General features: G+C 37.2%; 1 protein-coding gene across 48 annotated transcripts in view; it reads right to left on the bottom strand.

The window, feature by feature from the left end:
- Positions 1 to 24,363, bottom strand: part of RIF1 (replication timing regulatory factor 1) — a 124,534-nt gene that overhangs the window by 74,091 nt on the left and 26,080 nt on the right. For 38 of the 48 annotated variants that reach the window (XR_007077544.1, XR_007077534.1, XR_007077537.1 and 35 more), the window contains 15 exons: positions 23,342 to 23,518; positions 22,994 to 23,104; positions 21,599 to 21,661; positions 20,218 to 20,318; positions 18,354 to 18,440; positions 17,016 to 17,086; positions 16,636 to 16,816; positions 14,900 to 15,007; positions 13,770 to 13,919; positions 8,640 to 8,739; positions 5,186 to 5,450; positions 3,725 to 3,767; positions 2,382 to 2,584; positions 1,435 to 1,534; positions 226 to 345 (listed from right to left, as the gene is read on the bottom strand). Coding sequence is in view for 29 of the 48 variants with exons in the window: in NM_001177665.2 (NP_001171136.1) it covers positions 226 to 345; positions 1,435 to 1,534; positions 2,382 to 2,584; positions 3,725 to 3,767; positions 5,186 to 5,450; positions 8,640 to 8,739; positions 13,770 to 13,919; positions 14,900 to 15,007; positions 16,636 to 16,816; positions 17,016 to 17,086; positions 18,354 to 18,440; positions 20,218 to 20,318; positions 21,599 to 21,661; positions 22,994 to 23,104; positions 23,342 to 23,518 (1,880 nt within the window). In the remaining 19 variants the exon portion in view is untranslated. The remainder of the gene's footprint in view (positions 1 to 225; positions 346 to 1,434; positions 1,535 to 2,381; positions 2,585 to 3,724; positions 3,768 to 5,185; positions 5,451 to 8,639; positions 8,740 to 13,769; positions 13,920 to 14,899; positions 15,008 to 16,635; positions 16,817 to 17,015; positions 17,087 to 18,353; positions 18,441 to 20,217; positions 20,319 to 21,598; positions 21,662 to 22,993; positions 23,105 to 23,341; positions 23,519 to 24,363) is intronic. The other 10 variants (XR_007077547.1, XM_017004422.2, XM_047444870.1 and 7 more) reach the window with 1 other exon arrangement.

Here is a 24,363-nt window from a genome sequence, read left to right as displayed (position 1 = left end):
CTAAGCATTACACAGAAACTTACCTTTCCTAAACAGGAATCATCACCCAAGGCTTCTGGGTTACCATGCTATCCTAGCAGTCTTTCTACATCAAATGCCCTCAATTCCCCTGCAATCCCAACCTTTATTTAGTCTTTTATAGTTCTTTCATCCAATTTTTAAAGTTGTATGTAAGTTACAATATACTTTATCTTAAAATTTTTGATTAAACTTTTGAAAACATACTTTGGCTGCTGGTTTCATATTTTCTTTTTTATTCTTTGTTTGTGCCAAAAATGAATCTCTTTTTCCATTTGATTTTCTCTCCATGCCACTTATCTTCACATTTAGTTGTGAATTTTCTGTCTGTTTTATTAAAAATGAAACAATTTCATTAAATAGAACGGTAATATTTTGCTTTTCCTTTTCACGTTTTGAAAATTCCTAATAAATAGTAATTGCAAATATTGTCAAAATTTTTCTAATTATTCAATCCCATAAAAATCAAAGAAAGGAAAGCCACTGTCTAATTCAACAGCAAATGGCTTTGGTGTCTCTTTAATAGTAGCTGTTTAATACCATTCAATTTTATGAATTCTGAAAATGAGACATGTCACATAAACACATAAAGTGAATTAAATTACTACATTCAAACACTCTACCTGTAACTGAAAATATTTCTAAGAGAATATTCAAAGCCATAGAACTTTAAACATTAAACAACTGAGGGTTAATAAAGCATGTATGACAGAGCATATTTCCCCTCAACAGAATATATAGCTTTTACAGACCACATTCCACTGAACTCTTTCACAAGTCTGTTAGTTATCTAGTGGAAAATTTTTACTTCAGCCAAAAGCAAATGAGATACTTAGTTGGCTATAACAGTCTTTTTTCTCCCAAAGATTCTAAACAAAATTAGCTATACCCTAGCTGCTCCTGAATAGAAAAAGGTTTTCTAAGAACACTCTAGCTCACAAGTCTATAGTACCCGTGCCTTTAACTACTATATCTTCAGGCAGTAATCAAATATTATTAGCCAAAGAAACTTTGCTCCTAATGCCATGTGACAGCAAAGATTTATTTTCCTGATAGAAGAATTGAGAAAATCAATTTTTTAAAAATAAGAAAATGAACAGCAGCTCTGGCTTAGATATGGCTTAGTAACCATTATTTCCAGTTTTTCCAAAGCAACAATTATGTATTTTACTCTTTGTGAACAGCACAGATGAGGTACCCGAGTTCAAAACAAATGATTAATGACAAGAATTAGAGATTATTTACATGAGAATCTCTAGTGAAAAATCACAAAAGAAATTTCAGGCCACACCACTGACAATGTGGAAAAAGCCTATGTTACAAAACTCTTTTCTGTTCAGGTTCTACTTATTTATAACTTTCAACAAATAACTTAAATGTCCAAAAACAAATGAACAATAAAACCCCCCAACTTACTCCATCAGAATATGGTCCACTGGATTCCTCCATCATTTCAACAGTTTCCAAACCAGGCAACAGGAGCAGAAATTTTTGTTTGGCTTGTGTTAGTACTGGTCTTTAAAAAAGTACATAAAATATATACCTTAAGTCAAGTAGTACTGGTGAACACTGATGATCTGTTAACAACAGCACTTTAATTTTTAGAGCAGCAAAATACATCTTTATTTTTAAATAAAGACTGTTCCTTACTATGTGTATATAAAACTGAGAAAAATTAGGCAATTTTTATATTTTTCCCTGTACTTTTCTGAATTCCAAATTTTTATCATGGAAAATTCCAATAAGAAGTAGAATATTATATAAAGTATTCATGTCTAGCTTTAATAATTATCCAGGCAGGGCACAGTGGCTCACACCTGTAATCCCAGCACTTTGGGAGGCTGAGGCACGCAGATAACGAGGTCAGGAGATTGAGACGATCCTGGCTAACACAGTGAAACCTTGTCTCTACTAAAAATACAAAAAATTAGCCAGGCATGGTGGCACGCACCTTCAGTCCCAGCTACTCAGGAGGCTGAGGCAGGAGAATCGCTTGAACCCGGGAGGCAGAGCTTGCAGTGAGCCCAGATCGCACCACTGCACTCCAGCCTGGGCGACAGAGTGAGACTCTATCTCAAAAAAAAAAAAAAAAAAAAAAAATCATCTATTTCCTGTCCTCCTTGTCTCTTTTATTAAGGATAATTTAAACTGCTTTTCTTGGCTCCTGAAATCAAGATTATTCTAAGCACCAATGAAAAGGTGAAATAATGTTTAATAATTATCATGTATTCCAAATGGTAATATTTCAACTAAGGAATCCTCTGTAACAATACCCCATAAGAAAAGATTATTTGAATCAAAGTATCAATTTATATGATCACAACAGAATAGTTAGTTGTATATAAGTTTTGTTGTTAGCATACTTTAACTCTTCAGGATAAACCAACATCATCACTTTGGCAAAAGTGGCATTCCAGAACTGAGCACTCTGTTTTCGAATCTGTTTATTCTTGTGCAGAAATATTATGCATAATAGTGGGGAGAGTTGTTCAAGAAGTTCACTATCATAAGTTCCGGTGTAGCTGAATTGCAGACAAGCAATAATTTCTCCCAGTAGCTTTTCTAACTAGGAAAAACGAAAAAATAAAAGCAAAACATATACTAAATATTAACTCACAGAATATATGTTGCTATTTCAATTTTTAAAATTAAGACAATTTTAAACTAACCCCCACTGTTGCCTTAAATATATATCCCTCTTTATAACTCGACAAATTATCAGGTGAATTTGCTTTGGTTATTAATATTACAGTTCAATTTTGAACTTATTTTCTATTAACAAAAGAAATTATGTTTTTGTAATAATTATAACAAGATAAATAGTTACCTACATACGTTCACCTAGAAAACTTTGGGTCCAATCGCCATCATATACAAAGGGATGAGCTAAGAGTTGATTAACTAGGCTGGGCTCAGTGGTTCACGCCTGTAATCCCAGCACTTTGGGAAGCCAAAGCGGGCAGACTGCTTGAGCTCAGGAATTTGAGACGAGCCTGAGCAACATGGCAAAACCCCGCCTCTACAAAAAATACAAAAATTAGCCAGGAGTGGTGGTGTATGCCTGTAGTCCTAGCTACTTGGGAGGCTATGGTGGGAGAATCACCTTGAGCCCAGGAGGGCAGGGGTGTGGTAAGCCGTGATCGTGCCACTGCACTCCCAGCTAGGTGAGATTTTGTCTCCAAAAAAAAGTTCATTACTTAACATGAATTTAAAGTATTAAATCCTTAAAAAAAAAAAAACCCTATAAATGTGTTCATATGGTGTTATTAAATGTCCATTAAAAATGAAGAACAGGACAAGCGTGTTGGCTCACACCTGTAATCTTAGCACTTCGGGAAGCCGAGGCAGGCGAATCACTTGAGGTCAGGAGTTCGAGACAAGCCTGCCCAACATGGTGAAACCCTGTCTCTACTAAATACACAAAAAATCAGCTGGGTGTGGTAGCATGTGCCTGTACTCCCAGCTACTCAGGAAGCTGAGGTGGGAGAATCACTTGATCCCAGGAGGTGGAGGTTGCAGTGAGCCGAGATCCTGCCACTGCACTCCAGCTTGGGTGACAAGAGCAAAATGCTGTCTCCAGGAAAAAAAGAAAGAAAGAAGGAATAACCCCTTTAAAAATCAGCAGAATTATGTTTAAGAAAATTATCTAAACTCTATCATTTTCTCATCATGAAAGTATGGTTTATGGAGAATTGTCTATTTTTACCTTGTTGTTCAGACAACTATATACTTTAGGAACTTCATCAAGCCTAGGAAGGATAAAATAGAATACCATTTATATTTCTGCAAGTTAACACTGTACTATCTATCAAGCTAATCCTAAGAAAAAGGTAATAAAGACATAATAAATATAAATTGATGATATAAAAAGGTGCCCAAAGACTTAACAAGTAAAAAACTCAAATACTAAATATTAAGCATAAAACCATCCCATCTTTGAAAAATGAATCACAGAAAATATCTACAATAAACCTCAAAGTAATAATCATATTAACTGCTTGTTTCTGTACATTTCTTTTAGGCATTACTTTTGATGAAATATAGACTTAAAGATTTGCAAAGAAAAGTTCATGGATTTGGAGGTTGTATCGTACTTTATAAAATCTGTTCCTAAAACTTTGTTAATTTATGAAAGATAAACTGTCTTCTGAATGAACCACACAAGCTTGCTATAAAGAATATTCATGAATCCTTTCAAAATGCTTGTACGAGTTTGTTACTGAGGCTTTTTTTTTCTTTCAGGTTTTAAAGCACTGCTTGCTTCGATTCAAATAAAGGGTGATGCAAAATTAATTCAATTTTTTGGAGACCAATTCAGACACATAAATGTGTATACCCAGAAATAGTGGCAAATGTGGGCAATGATTTACGTATAAATAATGTTCAATTGTTATGAGGGAGAACACTAGAAAAACATGTATGTCCACCAATCAGAAATTGGGTAAAAAGTTTAACAGAATCACATGTAGACATTTTTAAAAATGAGATTCTCATGTATATGGTACAAGGACAGAAATCCCTCAGTATCCATGGGGTATTAGCTGGGCATGGTGGCGGCTAATTCCAGGACCACCCTCCTGCCAAGATACCAAAATCCATGGATGCTCAACACTCTAATATAAAACAAATTGTATTTGCATGTAACCTACACACATCCTCCCATATGTTTTAAATCATCTCTAGATTCCTTATAATATCTAATACAATGTAAATAATTGTCATATTGTATTTATTTGCATTCATTTTATTAATTTTTCTAAATAGTTTCGATCCAGGGTTGGTTGAATCCATGAATGCAGAACCCATGGATACAAACAGCCAACTGTATTAAGTGCATACCATATAATTAATTGCAAAACAGCATGCCAAGTAAGCTTTCCTATCTATCATGCATTTAATAGGTATGCTTGTTTGCATAAACAATTCTGAAAAGGTAAGCATTGAAAAGCAAAGGGAAAGGGAAGTAACAGGCAAAATAGACTTCCAATTTCTCTCTCATATTTCTATACTATTTTAACTATCTTTTCAACAAAAGTGTAGTTTATTATCCTCTCCACAAAATTGTCAAGACTACCATCTACAACACAGCTGATTAAAAAATAAAAGTTGCTACCTATATTTAAATTGTATACATTTAATTCAAAGCTACTTAGTCCAAAATACTTACTTTGAGTTTTCATAAAATAATGCCAGAGGTCTTGTTAAAGTTGCAAATATTTTTCGGATCATAGAAGGCAAAGAAATATGCCCAAGTACACTGGAAATAATGCCGGTGATTGAGTTGCCAATAGTGAAGAGGGTATCAGAATGTGCTTCCTTGAAGCTCAGTGTGTGGAAAGAATAGATCACTTTCACAATAAGTTTAAATAAAGAAGTCAATTTCCCTAGGGGCTCATTCTTCTTTTTGGACCAATCTGAAGGTCTCTGTGGTGCTAAAAACAAAAACTGAATTAATTAAAAACTCAAATAAATTGAAAATAGGAGTCACTGTCCACTTTTACAATTTATAGCTCACATTTAAATGTTAGATACATCAAATACATGTCCGTTTGCTGACTGACACCCCAAACAAATCATAACATAATGTACCATTAATGGATAAGTATCACTAGAACATTATCTTTACAAATGAGAATGGGAGACGAAAACTACTTGGCGGATCATGAATATGAATTCCAGAAAAACAAGTTCATTTTTTCTTAGGAATTATAAAATGCATCTCAAACTTTAATTTTACATTTCATAAAATTTCAACAACTAATATGCAAGAAAGTACCAAATTACATAAGATAGGTTCCAAATTTAAATTTTGAAAGTTAGTTTTAAAAACAAAAAATTTCCACTAAGAATGACGGACCATTTTTTTGCTCATCTATAGTACATTGATCCCTACAAATAACATTGAACAAGTCAGAGATACAAAGCTGAGAAAGAATGCAGTAAGTCTACTATTTCCTAGATATAAAGAAAAAGATTTGTCCTAAAAGTACTGTCTGATTTTTTGTACCCTTAGATAATCCCTCTGTAAACATCTACCTAGAAGAATAAACCCACATAGCCCTTGCCCAAAAAATTTACCCATTCCAAAATTACTTGTTTCTCTCAATCAATCCATTCTTTTAAGGAATGAGATCTCAAATTTAACAGAAAACGAATGCTTAATTAAAATTAATCTCATATGGTAACATGAAAAACAAGTGTTGCTACTAAAAGGAAGTTGATCTTTCTCCTTGGAATCAATTTTTCAGACATTTATGTACACTGAAAAACTATATCCAGAAATTCCCTGACAGAATGCTGAGGTGAGGTGACAGCCATTATGTCAGGAGACTGGTTACATACAAGTGAATGATCAAGTTGTAAATACATTGAGGGTAATGAAAACCAGGTTTCTCACTATTAGAGACAGTAGAGAAAAATACAGAAAAGGAATGAATAGCATAATCCATGTGATATTAGATGGTAAATGAAAGTGTATCTAGAGAAACAAGCAATAATTGTGCCACAGTAAGTATTTAGTAATTAACCTTACAGTGGAAAACCTGGCAGATGCCATCCTCAAACAAACAGGAAGTGTTAACATCACCAGTAATGGGAAAATAATGAATTGAAAAAGAACTACAGCATTATTTCTGTGGTACTCCAGTAATGAATGGACCCTGAATCTAATCTTAAAGCAATATGGTAATCCCAGATTGAGAGACTCTAAGAAAGTAAAATTGCCTTTTTTTTTTTTTTTTTTTTTTTGAGACAGAGTCTAGCTCTGTTGCCCAGGCTGGTGGAGTGCAGTGGCATGATCTCAGCTCACTGCAACCTCTGCCTCCTGGGTTCAGGAGATTCTCCTGCCTCAGATTCCCAAGTAGCTGGGACTACAGGCGCGCACCACCATGGCTTGCTAATTTTTGTATTTTTAGTAGAGACAGGTTGTAGCCCTGTTGGCCAGGCTGGTCTAGCACTCCTGACCTCAGGTGATCCACCCACCTCGGCCTCTCAAAGTGCTGGTATTACAGGCGTGAGCCACTGCACCCAGCCTAAAGTTGTTTTTTGAAAGACATAAAAGACAAGACTGAGGAACTGTTCCAGGTTGTCAACTTGTCTAAAACTATACCTTAAAATGGTTCAGAAGGGAAAAAGAATAAAATGTATATTCTGGGGGGAGGGGGGAGCAGATAAGATAAATGCAATCAACCATTAATTGAGAAACCTGAGTAAAGGAATACGAAGTTTCCACATAAACTCTTGCAGTATTTCTCTAAATTTGAAATCATCACAATGTAAGTCACCAAAAAATCCCAAGGTGATCCTGATAATAACAATTTCCTTTCGGTTAGTCTTAACATTGTTTCCTCTTCTCAACTTCTTTTAAAAATCTCCCCATTACCCAAATTTTACAGCAAGAGAACTCTGGCTCTGTTTTGCATGGACACGGAGTGGAAAAGACATTTGTAACTGTGGGTTCCTGAATTGGATATTCGGTTAAATCTAATTTCAGAAGTACCAACATAGGTAAAATTATGTCAAAATGAGACTGATCATCTTCGCTCTATGAAACTTCAGTGGCTTATAATTTCTGACATCATCTGTTATATAATCTTGGTAAACTTATGATTTTCAGAGATAAGCCTATTTTTCTGACACACTGAGGTAATCATATTAGGTCCTGGTCAGACCAAGAGGAGAGCTAAGATCAGTATGTCAAGAACATCTATAACCTATATTTCCACGGCACTCAGGCCGGGATGCTCTGACCTATAATATACTTCAGGAGCTTAACATGTTACTCCATATTGCTACTTAGTAAAAATTCAAAAACCAAAAAAGATTCTAAGAATGTTTTAGAAAACTCATCAATGGCAAATCTTATTGTTAGATAATTTTATGTCCCTAATCTTTAAACAAGAATAATATATCTCAACATCAACTAACATTTTTCATTAATGACAGATTATCACTACCTATATGGTAAGAACATATAAACATAGGTGGATATATCTGACTTCAATGAATCAATTAACAGATTTTAAAAACTATTTGCTACAAAATAACTTAAAACTAACCAAGGCATATGGTTTTAAAAATCACGCAACTTGTTATGATCCCAATTGTCCAATTTTAATCATTTAATTACCATGTTTCAGGTAAACGATGAGTTAAACTTTGTAACATTTCTGGAAAAAAATAACCAATTAACTGATCCCATTGTTTTCTTTTAAATTATAATGTCAATTCAATGACTATTTTAAATCAGGCTTGCAAATAAAAACATTTTAAGTTATGTCTAAGTTTCTTGTCCAGGTAATCCTTCATACCAGATGGAATGAGTAAAACCATTTGTACTATTAGGCAATCTCTAATTAGAATAGTATTTATCTTTCTGCGTTGTAAAAAGGAGTAAAGAAATTTTGTGTGATAGAGATAAGAGAATGATACAGAGCATATGAAAATTAAAAAGAAAAAAGAGAGAGAACATGTATGAAAGCTCCTAGCATAGTAACTAACATGGTTAAACAAGATCAAAAGTTAGTAAAATGAGGTGGCAAAGGTATTAGGACTTCCCCTGGCAAAGTTCAGTACTGCTTATGAAATACTGGACAAACAAAGGTTAAAAAATACATACTTACATTTAACTTTGGGCTGATATTTAATATTATATGGTGAGAAGTCAATGCAATCAACCATTACAGTAATAATATAAATAATTCTATCCACGAACAACAAATTCTAGGGAAGAAAGTACCACTGTTAGAAACATTCAAGTACTGGGACAGTATTCAACAAAAGTAAGCAACATGAAAAAATATAAGACTGTTACTCCCATATATCCTATGTAACACACATGCCACAGCTTACAGTACATTAAGTGCAGCCACCCACGGCTTAACAGAGATCCACTGTGAAAAATGGGTCATCAGGCAATTTCATCTTGTGAGAACACAGTGTACCCACACAAACCTAGATGATACAGCCTACTACACACCTATATAGTCTGTTGTTCCTAAGCTACAAACACATAGCCTAGGCACCTGTATAGGTGTGTAGTTACTATACTGAATACTCTAGGCAACTGTAACAAAATGGTATGTATTTGTGTATCTAAGCATCGAAAAGACACAGTAAAAATACCGTATTATAACGTTCTGCTTAGGATATGTAGCACTAGATTTGCGGTCTGTTGTTGACTGACACATTGTTATGAGGCGCATGACCATACATGATTACAAATCTTTTTCAGTTAACTGCTGAGTCAAACACTGTACTTTCTCTTCCTCAATATTTAAGAAAAATAATTCACTTTTAAGATCCCCATAAAAGCCATCATATCAACCAATAAACTGAGATTGGAAATACTAGGATCACAGATTCTCTATCAAATTCCTCTTGAAAATTATGAAGTAAAAGTTTTCACTAAACCCAGTGGAAACAAAACATAAAAAGAAGTTGCTGGCCAGGACTGGTGGCTCACGCCTGCAATCCCAGCACTTTGGGAGGCTGAGGTGGGTGGATCACCTGAGGTCTGGAGTTCGAGACCAGCCTGGCCAACATGGTGAAACCCCGTCTCTACTAAAAACACAAAAATTAGCCAGGCGTGGTGGTGAATGCTTGTAATCCCAGCTACTCGGGAGGCTGGGGCAGGAGAACTGCTTGAACCCGGGAGGCGGAGGCTGCAGTGAGCCGAGTTCACACCATTGCACGCCAGCCTGCGACAGAGCGAGGCTCCGTCAAAAAAAAAAAGAAAGAATTATTGCTCAGGATGGTGTTTTTAAAGACACATTTGACACAAATTTTCAAGAAGGTGTAATAAATTTCAAGCTAGTAGAATTTAAGAAAAAGGCAGTAACAAGGAACACATTACAATGAAAACATCAGTAGTCATTAATCTCTAATGTATAACAATATGGCATCAAAGTATTTAATAAACATGTTAATATACAGCAAATTCATAATCAGGGAGATACCTGATCCCAAGTGTCTTATAAATAAACAATTATAAAACTACATTATCACAGTTATAACACAGGATGAATTCCAAAATTAGAAGTCCTAGATGATCCTCTCTGATCACAATACAGTAAAATAAAAAATTAATGATAAAATAGCAACACATATCCATAAAAAATTCTCAAATTACAAAGCACCCTTCCAAGTTCCCTGGTGCTATTAAAAAAAAAAGGGGGGGACATCAAAGGCTGGGTGTGGTGGCTCACACCTGTAATCCCAGCACTTTGGGAGGCCAAGGCAGGCAGAATCACCTGAGGTCAGGAGTTCAAGACCAGCCTGGCCAACATGGAGAAACCCCGTCTCTACTAAAAATACAAAATTAGCCAGGCGTGGTGGCACACGCCTTTAATCCCAGCTACTAGGGAGGCTAAGGCAGGAGAATCACTTGAACCCGGAGGCAGAGGTTGCAGTGAGCCGAGATCGCACCACTGCACTCCAGCCTGGACAACAAGAGTGAAACTCGGTCTCAAAAAAAAAAAAAAAGGCATCAAAGTAGTCTATATGATCACTGATGGCAGTAATCAAAGTCTTACATGCATATGTTTGAAAAAAGCTTTAAAACAAAACCATTCAATGTATTAAAGACAAAGAAAAGTAAAAAGCTGTGTAGTAATGATCAATAAAATAAAACTACATGTTGTTTTCCTTGGTAGACTTAGATAAGCCTTTAATTACCAAGTCCAACCAAGAAAAGAGAAGACTTCAGAACAAAAAGGTTGGTGGGCTTGGCATCACGTAGTCCAACCCACTCGGGAGGTTGAAGCAGGATGACTGCTTGAACCCAGGAGGTGGAGGCTGTAGTGTGCATGGTGCCTGTGAATAGCCACTATACTCCAGCTTGGGCAACACAGCAAGACCTCATCAAGAAAGAAAGAAAAGAAAGAAAAAGAGAGAAAGAAAAAAAGAATACAACTGTAGATATGGCATTCCTTTTACACTATATAAATTGGTGAAGAACAGTTTTCTGAATCATTCTAAGAGGTCACTATTGCCATAATACAAAAATTGAACAATGAGAACTCCAATATCACTAATGAAGATATACATGCAGAAAAAAACATTAATCCTATGATAATTTAAAAGAATAGCACTGTAACCAAGAAGTGTATCCCAAAAACACATGATTCAATACAAGGAAGTATGTAAGCAACAACTTTTATGTCCTTCAGCAACAAGCAAGTATGAGGGAAGAACAGACCCATTTATAATGTTAAAAAACAGCTTAAAAACAATAATCAAGTTAGGTTAACTTTAGAAGACCTAAATAAACACAAATCCCTGGAAGGAACAATTTGATTAGAAAGACGTAAATTCTTTTCCGAATTAATCTGTGAATTCACCCTTATCAAAGCCAAGCAAAATCTCAACAGGGTATTTTGTGAAATTTGACAGACTCCAAGTTTCTTCTGGAAAAGAACAAAGGGAGAAAGCCTAACTAAGACCATTTTTTAAAGGTGATAACTGAGGGTCAACCTTCTTCCGATCAGTTATAAAAACCTGCACATTGTTTATTCAGTAGACAGATCCCAGAGATAATCACCATCATGACAGACAATGTCCCTAACCTCATGGAGTGTGGGTGAAATAACATAATAAAGTACAGAAATAAACAATTTCGAGACAGTACTAAAAAGGAAATAAGATGCTATACAACAAAAATAAACAAGCGCGATTAGGTAAGTCCTTTGGAAAAGGAAGCAGAAACCTCATGGGTAGTGTAAGGAGCTCAGATTTTTATTCCAAATCTAACAAAACACTATAATACTTCAAGAGTGACAAGATCTGATTTACATTTTTAAAGTCACTCCGACAAATACAATTAGAATTGTGCTAATAACAAGTAGAGGATATGTATATAAATCCATTTAAAACACTAAAACAATGAACATCTAACTATGGGTAGTGATTATTACTGAGGAGAAGACGTGTGAGGGGGAATTTGCTTTGTTGTTTGTAATCTTTTACAATAAGAACTGTCATTTTTGGCTGGGCGCGGCGGCTCACACCTGTAATCCCAACACTTTGGAAGGCTGAGGTGGGCTAATCACCTGAGGTCAGGAGTTCAAGACCAGCCTGGCCAACACGGTGAAACCCCCTCTCTACTAAAAATACAAAAATTAGCCAGGCATGGTGGTGCACACCTGTAGTCCCAGCTACTAGGGAGGAGAATCACTTGAACCTGGGAGGCAGAGGTCATAGTGAGCCCATATTGCACCAATGCACTCCAGCCTGGGTTGTCGTCCAACAATCACTGTGAGACTCTGTCTCAGGGGCAAGAAAAAAAAAAAGAACTGTTATTTTTACTTTCTTTTATTCCTCATTAAAATATGTGTTAGATATAAGCTATAGAGAAAACAGGCACAACAAATATCATTTCAATAATCTGCATGGAAAAACAACGGTTTCTGTGTGAAGGCCATTACCAGGATCATACACAGTAATAAATAATAGAAAAAAACAAAATGTCCTTAAAATAACAGAATTCCAGGCCAGGTGCAATGGCTCACGCCTGTAATCCTAGCACTTTGGGAGGCCAAGGTGGATCACCTCAGGTCAAGAATTCGAGACCAGCCTGGCCAACATGGTGAAACCCCATCTCTACTAAAAATACAAAATTAGCTGGGCATGATGGTGTGCAACTGTAGTCCCAGCAACTCGGGAAGCTGAGGCAGAAGAATCGCTTGAACCCAGAAGGCGGAGGCTGCAGTGAGCTGAGATCGTGCCACTGCACTCAAGCCTGCGCAGCAGAGTGAGACTCTGTCTCAAAAAATAATAAATAAATAAATAATAGAATTCCAAGTAATGGTACAACCATACTACAGAATACTAGACAGCAGTTGAAACAAATAATAGAGCTATATGGATTGACTTGAAACTGAGCCAAGACAGTGTTTTACGAAAAGTTACATAATTACTTTGGAATAAATGCAATAAGGATTTCATTGGCAAGAATACCATATATTCAAATGCATATGCAAGGATCAATATACAAATGACATGCGTAAACAGAAAGAGGTCTATTCTGGAATGACGCATATCAATCTGTTCCCAACAGCTGTCCTTTCCATGAGGAGGGAAAGAAAGAGGCCGGGCGCGGTGGCTCACGCCTGTGGTCCCAGCACTTTGGGAGGCCGAGGCGGGCGGATCACGAGGTCAGGAGATCGAGACCATCCTGGCTAACACGGTGAAACCCCGTCTCTACTAAAAATACAAAAAATTAGCCGGGCGTGGTGGCGGGCGCCTGTGGTCCCAGCTACTCGGGAGGCTGAGGCAGGAGAATGGCGTGAACCCGGGAGGCGGAGCTTGCAGTGAGCCGAGATCGCGCCACTGCACTCCAGCCTGGGCGACAGAGCGAGACTCCGTCTCAAAAAAAAAAAAAAAAGAAAGAGAAAAGAGACTTATATTTTCTAAGACTACAAACTTTCAAAGGGATTGAATTTAAAGATCTAACAGATACGTATGAGAAAGTGAGGTCCAGGAGAGCAAGGCCCTTGAAGTGTTAATCTAGAATGACACAAGCACAAGGAGATAACACAGTATAGTAAAAGATCTTCACTATTAATGATCCCAAAACTGAATCTTAGAGCCCAAAGACACAAAACTGTTACACAAAGCATACTTGTTTGCAGTATCAACTTTATCACATATAAATAGAGGCAGTAATAGGTGACAGTTCACAAATATTATCTCCATTTACTTGAAAAGAATCCTTTAAAAACAAACAAAAAAAGGTAGCATCAGGACAAACTCACAGAAAAGCCTTCATCTTCCAAACTGGACATTATCTTGGAAGAAAGTTCCTCACAGCACAAGTTCTCTTCTGCTGTTGCCACCAAAGCAGCACAACGAGCAAATGCTCTATATAATTCTGACCAAGTTCTAAGCAAAGTCTTCATGGTGGCCTACCAATAACAACAAAAAAAGAAGTTTTGTTAATATATACCTATCTATCAAAGTTTATAGAATCAATACATCTTTAACATTTTTTAAAAACACTGCAACATTTAGTGTGTCAAAAAAGACACTAACGGCCGGGTGCAGTGGCTCACGCCTGTAACCCCAGCACTCTGGGAGGCCGAGGTTGGTGGATCACCTGAGGTCAGGAGTTCGAGGTCAACATGGCGAAACCCCATCTCTACTAAAAATACAAAAAATCAGCCGGACGAAGTGGCGGATGCCTGTAATCCCAGCTACTCGGGAGGCTGAGGTAGGAGAATTGCTTGAACCCAGGAGGTAGAGGTTGCAGTGAGCCAAGATTGCCCCACTGCACTCCAGCCTGGGCAACAAGAGTGAAACTGTCTCAAAATAAAAAAGAGACTAACACAGGGTAATAACCTTTCCCCCACATCCCAGAGGTCTAACTGAAGAGAGGAAATAAGGCCATGATACCAAAAATTATCAAAGATCCAAAAGAACTTCTCTCGCCCTTCATCATTCTCCTAAGCTAGTAATAAAGTCATAAAGAAGTCTTATTTTAGAAATTATTGTGGGCTGGGCACAGTGGCTCACGCCTGTAATCCCAGCACTTTGGGAGGCCAAGGCAGGTGGATCACTTGAGGTCAGGTGAAACTGACCAATATGGTGAAACTCCATTTCTACTAAAAATACAAAAATTAGCTGGGCGCAGTGGCATGGTCCTGTAATCCCAGCTACTTGGGAGGCAGAGACAGGAGAACTGCTTGAACCCAGAAGGCAGAGGTTGCAGTAAGCTGAGATTGCACCACTGTACTCCAAGCCTGGACGACAATGTGAGACTGTCTCAAAAAAAAAAGAGAAAAAGAAAAAGAAAAACAAATCATTGTGGAAGCTGATTATAAAGGATGAAATAATATTTTCAGAAAAATACAAATCCCTCGGAAATCAATACTTGACAATGCCTTACCACTGGAAATCTCTGTTCTGAAAAAATGTGGTTTACTGGTAAAGTCAATGCACCATAGATGGCACTAAAATTATGTTCTAAGGCATCACCTTGATTTACTTCATTGGTCTAAAACAAGAAAAATAATGAAGTTAGACAAATTACCATCTTATTCTAATCCTAAGTAGTAACATAACTTATTTATAAGTAGTGGGCAAAACTGTGTTCCCCAATGATGAGATTCAAAATAAGTTTAACTCTTAACCCCTCGAACCTACGCATGTAGTCTTATTTGGAAATAAAGTCTTTGCATATGTTCAGATGAGGTCCTACTGGATTAGGGTCAGCCCCAATCCAATGAACAGTCTTTTCTGTAAGAGGAAAATTTGGATAGGCACAGACAACAATACCATGTGAAGATGGAGGCATAGTCAAGTGATGCAGCTACAACCCAAGGAAGGTCAAGGATTGCCAGCAACCACCAGAAGCTGAGAGGCATGAACAGATTCTGTCTCAGAGCTCCAGGAGAAACCAATCCTACCAACTCCTTGATTTTGGATAGCTGGTCTCCAGAACGGTGAGAGAATAAATCCCTGTAGTTTTAAGTCACCAGTTGGCTGTAATTTGTTAATTGCAATCTGGGGAAATTATGCACTATGTTTAAGTTCTAAAAATGAATCCCAGGGCCAACTCCAAAGTCTTCTACTATACATACACAGCATTCCAGCAAAAACTCATACAATAAAAAGGGCCTCTGGATCATTCTAACAGTGGGGAGCTATTTAAGAATGTAAATGACTTTTCTTCCAGAAGAATAGTGTGCTAGCTTGAGTAGCCAAAACAAGGGCTACGTTAACTATAATGTAAAAAGCTGAGCACAGTGGCTCACGCCTGTAATCCCAGCACTTTGGGAGGCTGAGGCTAAGGTCAAGAGTTTGAGATCCGCCTGACCAATACAGTGAAACCCCATCTTGACTAAAAATACAAAAATTAACTGGGCTTGGTGGCGTGCACCTGTAGTCCCAGCCATTTGGGAGGCTGAAACAGGAGAATCGCTTCAACCTGGGAGGCAGAGGTTGCAGTGAGCCAAGATCGTGCCACTGTACTCTAGCCTGGGTGACAGAGTGAGATTCCAACTCAACAACAACAAAAACAACAAAATTCCTTCGAGTTATTTCATTTTTGAGTTACAGCACTATTAGCCCAGAGAATGCATATTCCCATTTAAAGACTGACAAAGAGGCTGACAAATCATAAACAGAACTTGTGCCCCACAGCCTGCCACTATACCCACTTTTGTTAAATAGGTAAACATTGAGGATTTAAGTATTTAAATACACAGATTATTCAACTCTCAATAGATTCCTGACTTAAGGAAATGCTATATGGCTTTGAGGTAATCACCAACGTGGCTTAACTATGGGAATATATAGCCTAGTCAAGATAACCGCTGTTATTCCCTGTTAATAAAACTACTGAAAGAATCCAAGATACAAGAATTTACATCTATGTGAGCCTTCTAGGTTTATAATCACTACTGAAGAAAATGAAGCTGATTAGTCCCCATTAAGTTATAGTTTCTTTACCAGTGAGGGAGAAATGCAATAAAATCAATCAAAAGTACAACGTTTACCAATTCCACCAGAAAAAATATTTACCATCTTCTATTCAAATTCAAACTTCTATTCATTTCCCCAACTGCACTAACAAAAAAAAAAGGTCTATTATCCAAAATACGTAGCAGATTTATTTCATACCTGATTAATCAATTCAGTTAATGGGGTGACTATAACACTCCACATTTTCCAGAGATGCTCCTTATTTTCCAACTGCTTTGCATTTTGATTAATAACATTTAAAACTGAGTCACTGAAAGCTAGTGGTGAAGTTGGACCAGAAAGAACACAGCCTACAAGTGATTCCAAACTGAGAAAGAACCTGAACAAAAAATTATAAAAAATGCATCAACTTTTTGGCAGGAATATATTAATTTAATGTTAACAAAATTCTAAAATAACTGACAAAAAGTTAACGAATTTTTTTTAAAAAAACTTAAACTTATGAAATAGTACATAAATAATCTCATTCATTACATAACCTTTCCAAGACAAAGTTTCAAGTTAAAGTACAAACTTACCTTTCATCTGATACACCACATTCCAAGAAATTGTTGAAAATTAATTGAATTAAGAACAAAGCTGGAGTTCCCTGAAGGAGAAAATGAAGTCAATCTTCTCAGTTACAAAGAATAGAACATTTGTTTTTTATAATTGGTTATTTAAGAAATAAAATTGTTTTAGCATGACAAATTTAACTTTTGGCATTACTTAGGGTATGACAACCATGTTAGTAAAATTATTTCCATATACTGCACACAAAAATCAAGCTCTTGGCCGGGCGCAGTGGCTCACTCCTGTAATGCCAGCACTTTGGGAGGCCGAGGCGGGTGGATCACGAGGTCAGGAGATCGAGACCATCCTGGCTAACACAGTGAAACCCCATCTCTACTAAATAAAAATACAAAAAAACTAGCCGGGCAGGGTGGCACGCGCCTGTAGTCCCAGCTACTCGGGAGACTGAGGCAGGAGAATGGCATGAGACCGGGAGAATTAGGTTGCAGTGAGCCGAGATCACGCCACTGCACTCCAGACTGCGCAACAGCCTGACTCTGTCTCAAAAAAAAAAAAAAAAAAAAAAAATCAAGCTCTTTATAGTCTAATCATAGCTGTTTCCTCTACACAGAAAATCAAGGAATTATGAGATTCCAGATATAAAAAGAACATAGATTTAAAACTTACTGGAATCCCAATGCCTATATCCTAGAGATACTAAGTGCATTTTACATTAGCTTCCAATATTTATGGCAGTAACCAACAGTATTATCGTATATAAACAACTAGGAAACTTTCCTTTTGGAGCCATTTATTTAATCCAGGAAAATAGTTTTTTCATTCACATAGCAGCATATTTAATTCTTTATATTAACTATCAGTTTTTCCTTTAATTTGGTCAATATACTTCAAATCCAATACTCTCAGAATTTTACATAAGGTCATCTTTCTTTTTTTTTTTTTTTTTAAAAAAAAGGGAAATATGCTGGGCACAGTGGCTCACACCTGTAATCCCAGGATTTGGAAGAGCAAGGCGGAGGGATCACCCGAGGTTAGGAGTTCAAGACCAGCCTGACCAACATGGAGAAACCCCGTCTCTATAAAAATACAAAATTAGCCGGGTGTGGTGGCACATGCCTGTAATCCCAGCTACTCGGGAGGTTGAGGCAGGAGAATAGCTTGAACCTGGGAGGCGGAGGTTGCAGTGAGCCGAGATCGTGCCACTGCTCTCCAGCCTGGGCAACAAGAGCAAAACTCCGTCTCAAAAATAAATAAAATAAAATAAAATAAAATAAAATAAAATAAAAAAGGGAAGTATAAATGTTTTTGGCCAATCTTCATCATATTACATTTAAGATACTTGCATTAAGAATATCCATATTAGCAACCTGATATGCTGGTGAACCTAATACTTTCTGAGGAAGTCCTTTAATTGTAATTTCCATGAGGACCTATGAGAGATAAAAGGTTTTACAGTAAATTAGCCGTAAAAATATTATCTAATAAAAATCTGAGTGTTAACTATATCTCTAACAATTACAAGTAATGTTCATTCATTAACGTAAATATAATCTCATTAGTTAAAAAAGATCAAATACATTCATTCACTAACATGAATATATCTGCATCCGTTTTAGAAGTTCAAACACAGAAATATAAAAAGCAGGTAAAGTCTTTAATCTCCAACGATAATATTTTCAGTTCAGAGTCTATTTTCCTAGACCTTCTAAATTTCTGTATATGTAAGTACACAGAAAAACACACAACTTCTTGGGCAGCCAGTTATACACACATTCCTTTAAACCATTAAAGCCATTACACTGTAAATCACTAATGATATTAAACTCTGCAACTAACCTTCATTTTACCTTGTTACGGAATTTTTGCATCAATATATAAAAATACTGCTATATGAATGTCCATTATTTATTCAACCATTTTTCTATTAAGAGACCTTGGGGCTATTTCTATGTTTTTTTATACTACTAATAGAAATTCTGCAATTAATTATACTGGTACCCAAAGCAAATATTCAAAGGACTGCTAATAGTTGGGTCTAAGATTGCTAAATCAAACTGACTGAGCCTACCAAATTGCTCTCCAAAAATACTACCATACTGTCTTTTTTTTCTTTTTTGAGACAGGGTCTCATTGTTGTCCAGGCTGGATTGCAGTGGCACGATCTTGGCTCACTGCAGCCTCAACCTCATGGGCTCAAGTGATTCTCCCACCTCTGCTTCCATAAAAGCTGGGACTAGAGGCATGTCAGCATGCCTGGCTAATTTTTGCAATTTGCCCACCTTGCCCTCCCAAAGTGCTGGGATTACAGATGTGAGCCACCATGCCCAGTGGTAATATACTGGTATGAACATGCACTACATAACTTAAATGTCATAGAAGAGTTATGTCAGTGAAAATACATTTTCACACACTGTCACCTGAAACAGATTAGTAATAATAATAGACAGTATTAGTTTGTTCCTGGCCCATAGTACTTTCCATGTATCAATTCACTTAGTCTTTAACTACTGCTACATTCCCTCTTTACATATGGGGTTAGGCAAAGCCAAGGGAATAGATAAACTGCACAAATTTACTCAGCTAATGAATAGTTAGGCTGGTATTCAACCTAGTATGCTCCAGAGCCCTTGCTATTAACCACTATGCTATACTGCTACAGAACAAGTAACTATCAAAATACATAAAGGAAACAAAATCAGAATTTAAGGGTATTGTTTGTTCCACTGGAGCTTATTTTGAGATGCCCATATCCTCAAAATCATATCCAATTCACTTTTCTTCCTGTACTACACGGGTTTAAAAAAAAAAGGGGTTTTAATACCAAAGTCATTATCTTGGTTAAAAACAGTTAATTGAAAACAAAGTACCAACTATTAGTAGTTTTCAGCAATCTTGTCATAAAATTAAAGGACATCTGAGTTTCTTCAGTTCAAGTTTCATGTCCTTTACCCTAGTTTTTCTCTGTATGGCGGATACTTTTTTCTTACCACGTTGAAGACTTTTGTGGCTGTTGTTATAGTCACTATTAAAAAGGTTTCAAATGACTCTACAGTTAATAGAATGGCACTTATTGCAATAGGACTAAACTGCTGATGAATGCTTGATATAAAAAAGTCTTCCCAAACTAGATTTGTGCAAATATCTTCTATATAAAATTTAACTTCAGAAAATGGTTTTTAAAGTCCAACATACGGGTATTATACTTACCAGCGTTTTTGATACAGGAAATACTTCAGACTTTACTATGCTTTCCAAAGACTTTAATAAGAGAGTCAAAACTTCAGAACCTGGTTTCTCTTTTTTGTTACCTATCAAAAAGCAAAAAGAAGGGTATAGTTCTTTTTTTTTTTTTTTTTTTTTTTGAGACAGGGTCTTGCTCTGTCACCCAAGCTGGGGTACAGGGGCACAACCTTGGCTCACTGCAACCACCACTTCCTGGGTTCAAGCGATTCTCCTGCCTCAGCTTCCTGAGTAGCTGGGATTACAGGTGTGCACCACCATGCCTGGCTGATTTTCATATTTTTAGTAGAGACGGGTTTGCTAGGCTGGTATCAAACTCCTGACCTCAGGTGATCCACCCATCTCAGCTTCCCAAAGTGTTGGGATTACAGACGTCAGCCACCATGCCTGGCTGAGAATGGTGTATTTACTTTTTTTTTTTTTTTTTGATGGAGTTTCACTCTTATTGCCCAGGCTGGAGTGCAATGGCGCCATCTCAGCTCACTGCAACCTCCGCCTCCCAGGTTCAAGCAATTCTCCTGCCTCAGCCTCCTGAGTAGCTGGGGATTGATTACAGGCATGCACCACCATGTCTGGCTAATTTCGTATTTTTAGTAGAGGCAGGGTTTCTCCATGTTGGTCAGACGGGTCTCAAACTCCTGACCTCAGGTGATCCGCCCGCCTCGGCCTCCCAAAGTGCTGGAATTACAGGCATGAGCCACCGCGCCCGGCTAGAAGGGTGTATTTCTAAGCATGTAATTTTAGAGATGACTATACAGAGAGCTGTAAAAATTTATTTTTTCTAAATCAACAATACTAAGTACAGTTGACCCTTGAACGACACGGGTTTGGACGGCATGAGTCCACTCCTATTCAGACTTTCTTCCATCCCGGAAACAGCAAGTTCCACCCCTCCTCTTCCCTCCTTAGTGTACTCAACATAAAGACAAGAATATAACCCGTTTCCACTTAATGATTATGTTTTCTCTTATGATTTTCCTAACATTCTTTTCTCTAATTTACTAATATTGTTAATGAACACAGCATATAATGCACATAACGTATAAATATGTGCTCATCAGCTATTTATGTTATCAGCAAGGCTTCCAATCGATAGTAAGTTATCAGTAGTTAAGTTCTGGGGGAGTCTGAAGTTATATGTAGATTTTGGACCATGTGGTGGGTCAGCACACCTAACCCCAGTGTTCTTCAAACATTAACTACAAATTAAAAACTGGAAGCTACGGTAGTGCAAGAAATACTTTTAAAATAAATTTTATATAGTCAAACAATTCACCGGATGCTATAAAAATCATCTGATCACCACCTGTTTCAAAAAACAACATTTGATCAGTGTAATAGTGCTTACCTGATTCAGTAACTGACTTCACCAAGCTAATTAGCTCCTTCCAGATAGCACTGACAACCACATCTGTCAAACAAAATAAACTTGAGTATTTTAAATGAAGTACATATGACTACGTACTATGACTAACACTCTCCCTTTACTTCCTTACATTAAACAAATAAATTGAACAATACTTAATTTAATTTTCCTCATGATACTCAACCCTGTAGTAAGTTTATAAAACACTATCACTTCGTTTTTGTTTGTAGAAACTAAATATGGTTTATTTTTTTCAGACAGGGTCTTGCTCTGTCCAGGCTGGAGTACAGTGGCACAATCATAGCTCATTGTCACCTCAACAACCTGGGCTCAAGCAGTCTTCCCACATCAGCCTCCCAAGTAGCTAGGACTATAGGTACACACCACTACACCCATCTAATTATTTTTTTTTGTAAAGATAGCACTCTCACTACATTTCCTAGGCTGGTCACAAACATCTGCCTCAAGTGAACCTCCCACCTTAGCCTCTCCCAAACTGCCAGGATTACAGGCATGCGCTACCATGTCCAGCCATAAATGTGTTCCTTAAAACAACTATAACATGTTAACAATGAATTGTGTAACTAAGGGTAATTGTTTTATCTTTTTTTAAATTATCTTTCTTTTCTGAATTGAATGCCCACTACTTTTGGGGCAGAGATTGTTCACGGAGATTCAGAAGGATATCTAACAACCAATAGAAAAAATTTATGTGATTCATTGTGATTCTTTTTCCAACCAGTTAAAGAGCAAACAATTTTTGAAATTTCCTTTCCTCATTATTTGATAGGCCATGTAACACAGGAGTTTAGGCACAGATGCTAGAGCCATAGAGCTTGACACGGTACTACCACTCGTAAGTGACTCTGCATAACTTATGTACTTCCTGTATAACCCATTTTCTCATTTGTAAAATGAACTAACATGGTATGTTACTGCGAAAATTAAATGAATAAATGTAAAGTTCTCAATGCACAATCTGGCCAGTAGGTGGCACTATATAAATATTTGTTATTTTATCTTCATATTTTTTATTTTTTAATAGAGTCTTGCTCTATCACCCAGGCTGCAGTGCAGTGGCACAATCTTGGCTCACTGCAACTTCCACCTCCTGGGCTCAAGCAATTCTCATGCCTCCGCCTCCCGAGTAGCTGGGACTACAGGTATCTGCCAACATGCCCACCTAGTTTTTGTATGCTTTGTAGAGACAGGGTTTTGTCATGTTGCCCAGGCTGGTCTCGAACTCCTGAGCTCAAGTGATCCACTCACCTCGGCCTCCCAAAGTGCTGGGATTACAGGTGTGAGGTACTGTGACTGGCCTATTTTTTCTTCTTTTTAAACACACATTTGAGCAAATAATAAATCAAATTCTCTTACCGGGGGCATCTTTTCCAACTGCAACAAAGCTATCATGAACAGCAGTGATAAGTGTATTTGCATGTTTGGAAAAAAAGGAAGGGCTGCTGATTAACGGATGTTCCAATGGCTCTGAAAGGGAAGAATAAAAGATAATTATGTAAAACAACAGATTTATGAAATACATTTCTCACTATAAAACTTTAAAATGTCTATTAAGTAGGTGTGTTTTCTATAAAAAAAAGATTCATATTTCATACACAACTGTAAAATATTTTGGCTGCGACAAAATAACACCTCTCCTCACCCCAATGCATTAAGTCCTAGACTGTTTTAGTAATTAAAATTATTCTTAAAACCTTTAAATACCTAAGCTCAGCACAAGTTTATTTTGCTTAGCAAAACTCAAGGCTTCTGGACCCAACAAGAAATGAAGCAACATTTCAAGTCCCAAAAGTTGAATGGATGGGATTGTGGCCATTCCACCTAAATTCGAACTCAGGTTCATTCGGGGAGTTCCCGGGGCTCCGTACGGGGAGGAAGCACCTTTAAGAAAAAAAAAAAAAGAGTTAAGTCATACAAGCTCATTTTATATTAGCTACCCAAATGCATACATTTCATTTCAATGAAACTTTTAAAAACAGAGTTTAAATGTCTCAGGCATTAATCCATACCTTGAAATATTAATATGCAGGTATTCTGTAACAAATTTTGAAGACTCAGATGGCAAACAAAATAATACATATGACACACATGTATATCATATGTCTTTCAATGACATACATAAAGAAGACACTTTATAACTGCTGAGATTTTTTTTTTTTTTTTTTTTGAGACAGAGTCTCATTGTACTGCCCAGGCTGCAGTGCAGTGGTACAATCATAGTTCACTACAACCTCAAACTCCTGGGCTCAAGCACTTCTCCCATCAGCATTCCAAGTAGCTGTAACTATAGATGGATGGATACCACTGTGCTCAGTTAATTTTTAAATTTTTTGTAGAGACAGGGTCTCACTATGTAGCACAGGTGGTATCCAACTCCTGGCTTCAAGTGATCCTCCCACCTCAGCCCCCTAAATGCTGAGATTATAGGTGCCTGCCACTGCACCTGGCTGAAGTGTTGTTTTTGTTTTATTTTGTTTTTTTTGAGACTGAGTCTCACTCTGTCGCCCAGGCTGGAGTGCAGTGGCGAGATCTCGGCTCACTGCAACCTCCGCCTCCCAGGATTCAAGCAATTCTCCTGCCACAGCCTCCCAGGTAGCTGGTTATTACAGGGGCCCACGACCACGCCCGGCTAATTTTTTTATTTTCAGTAGAGACTGGGTTTCACCGTGTTGGCCAGGCTGGTCTCAAATGCCTGACCTCAAGTGATCTGCTGGGCTCGGCCTCCC

The sequence above is a fragment of the Homo sapiens genome, chromosome 2, assembly GCF_000001405.40.
Source record: "Homo sapiens chromosome 2, GRCh38.p14 Primary Assembly".
In the NCBI taxonomy this organism is placed as follows: domain Eukaryota; kingdom Metazoa; phylum Chordata; class Mammalia; order Primates; family Hominidae; genus Homo; species Homo sapiens.
The sequence above is the reverse complement of the archived record's forward strand: the minus strand, read 5'-3'. Positions and strand labels throughout refer to the sequence as shown.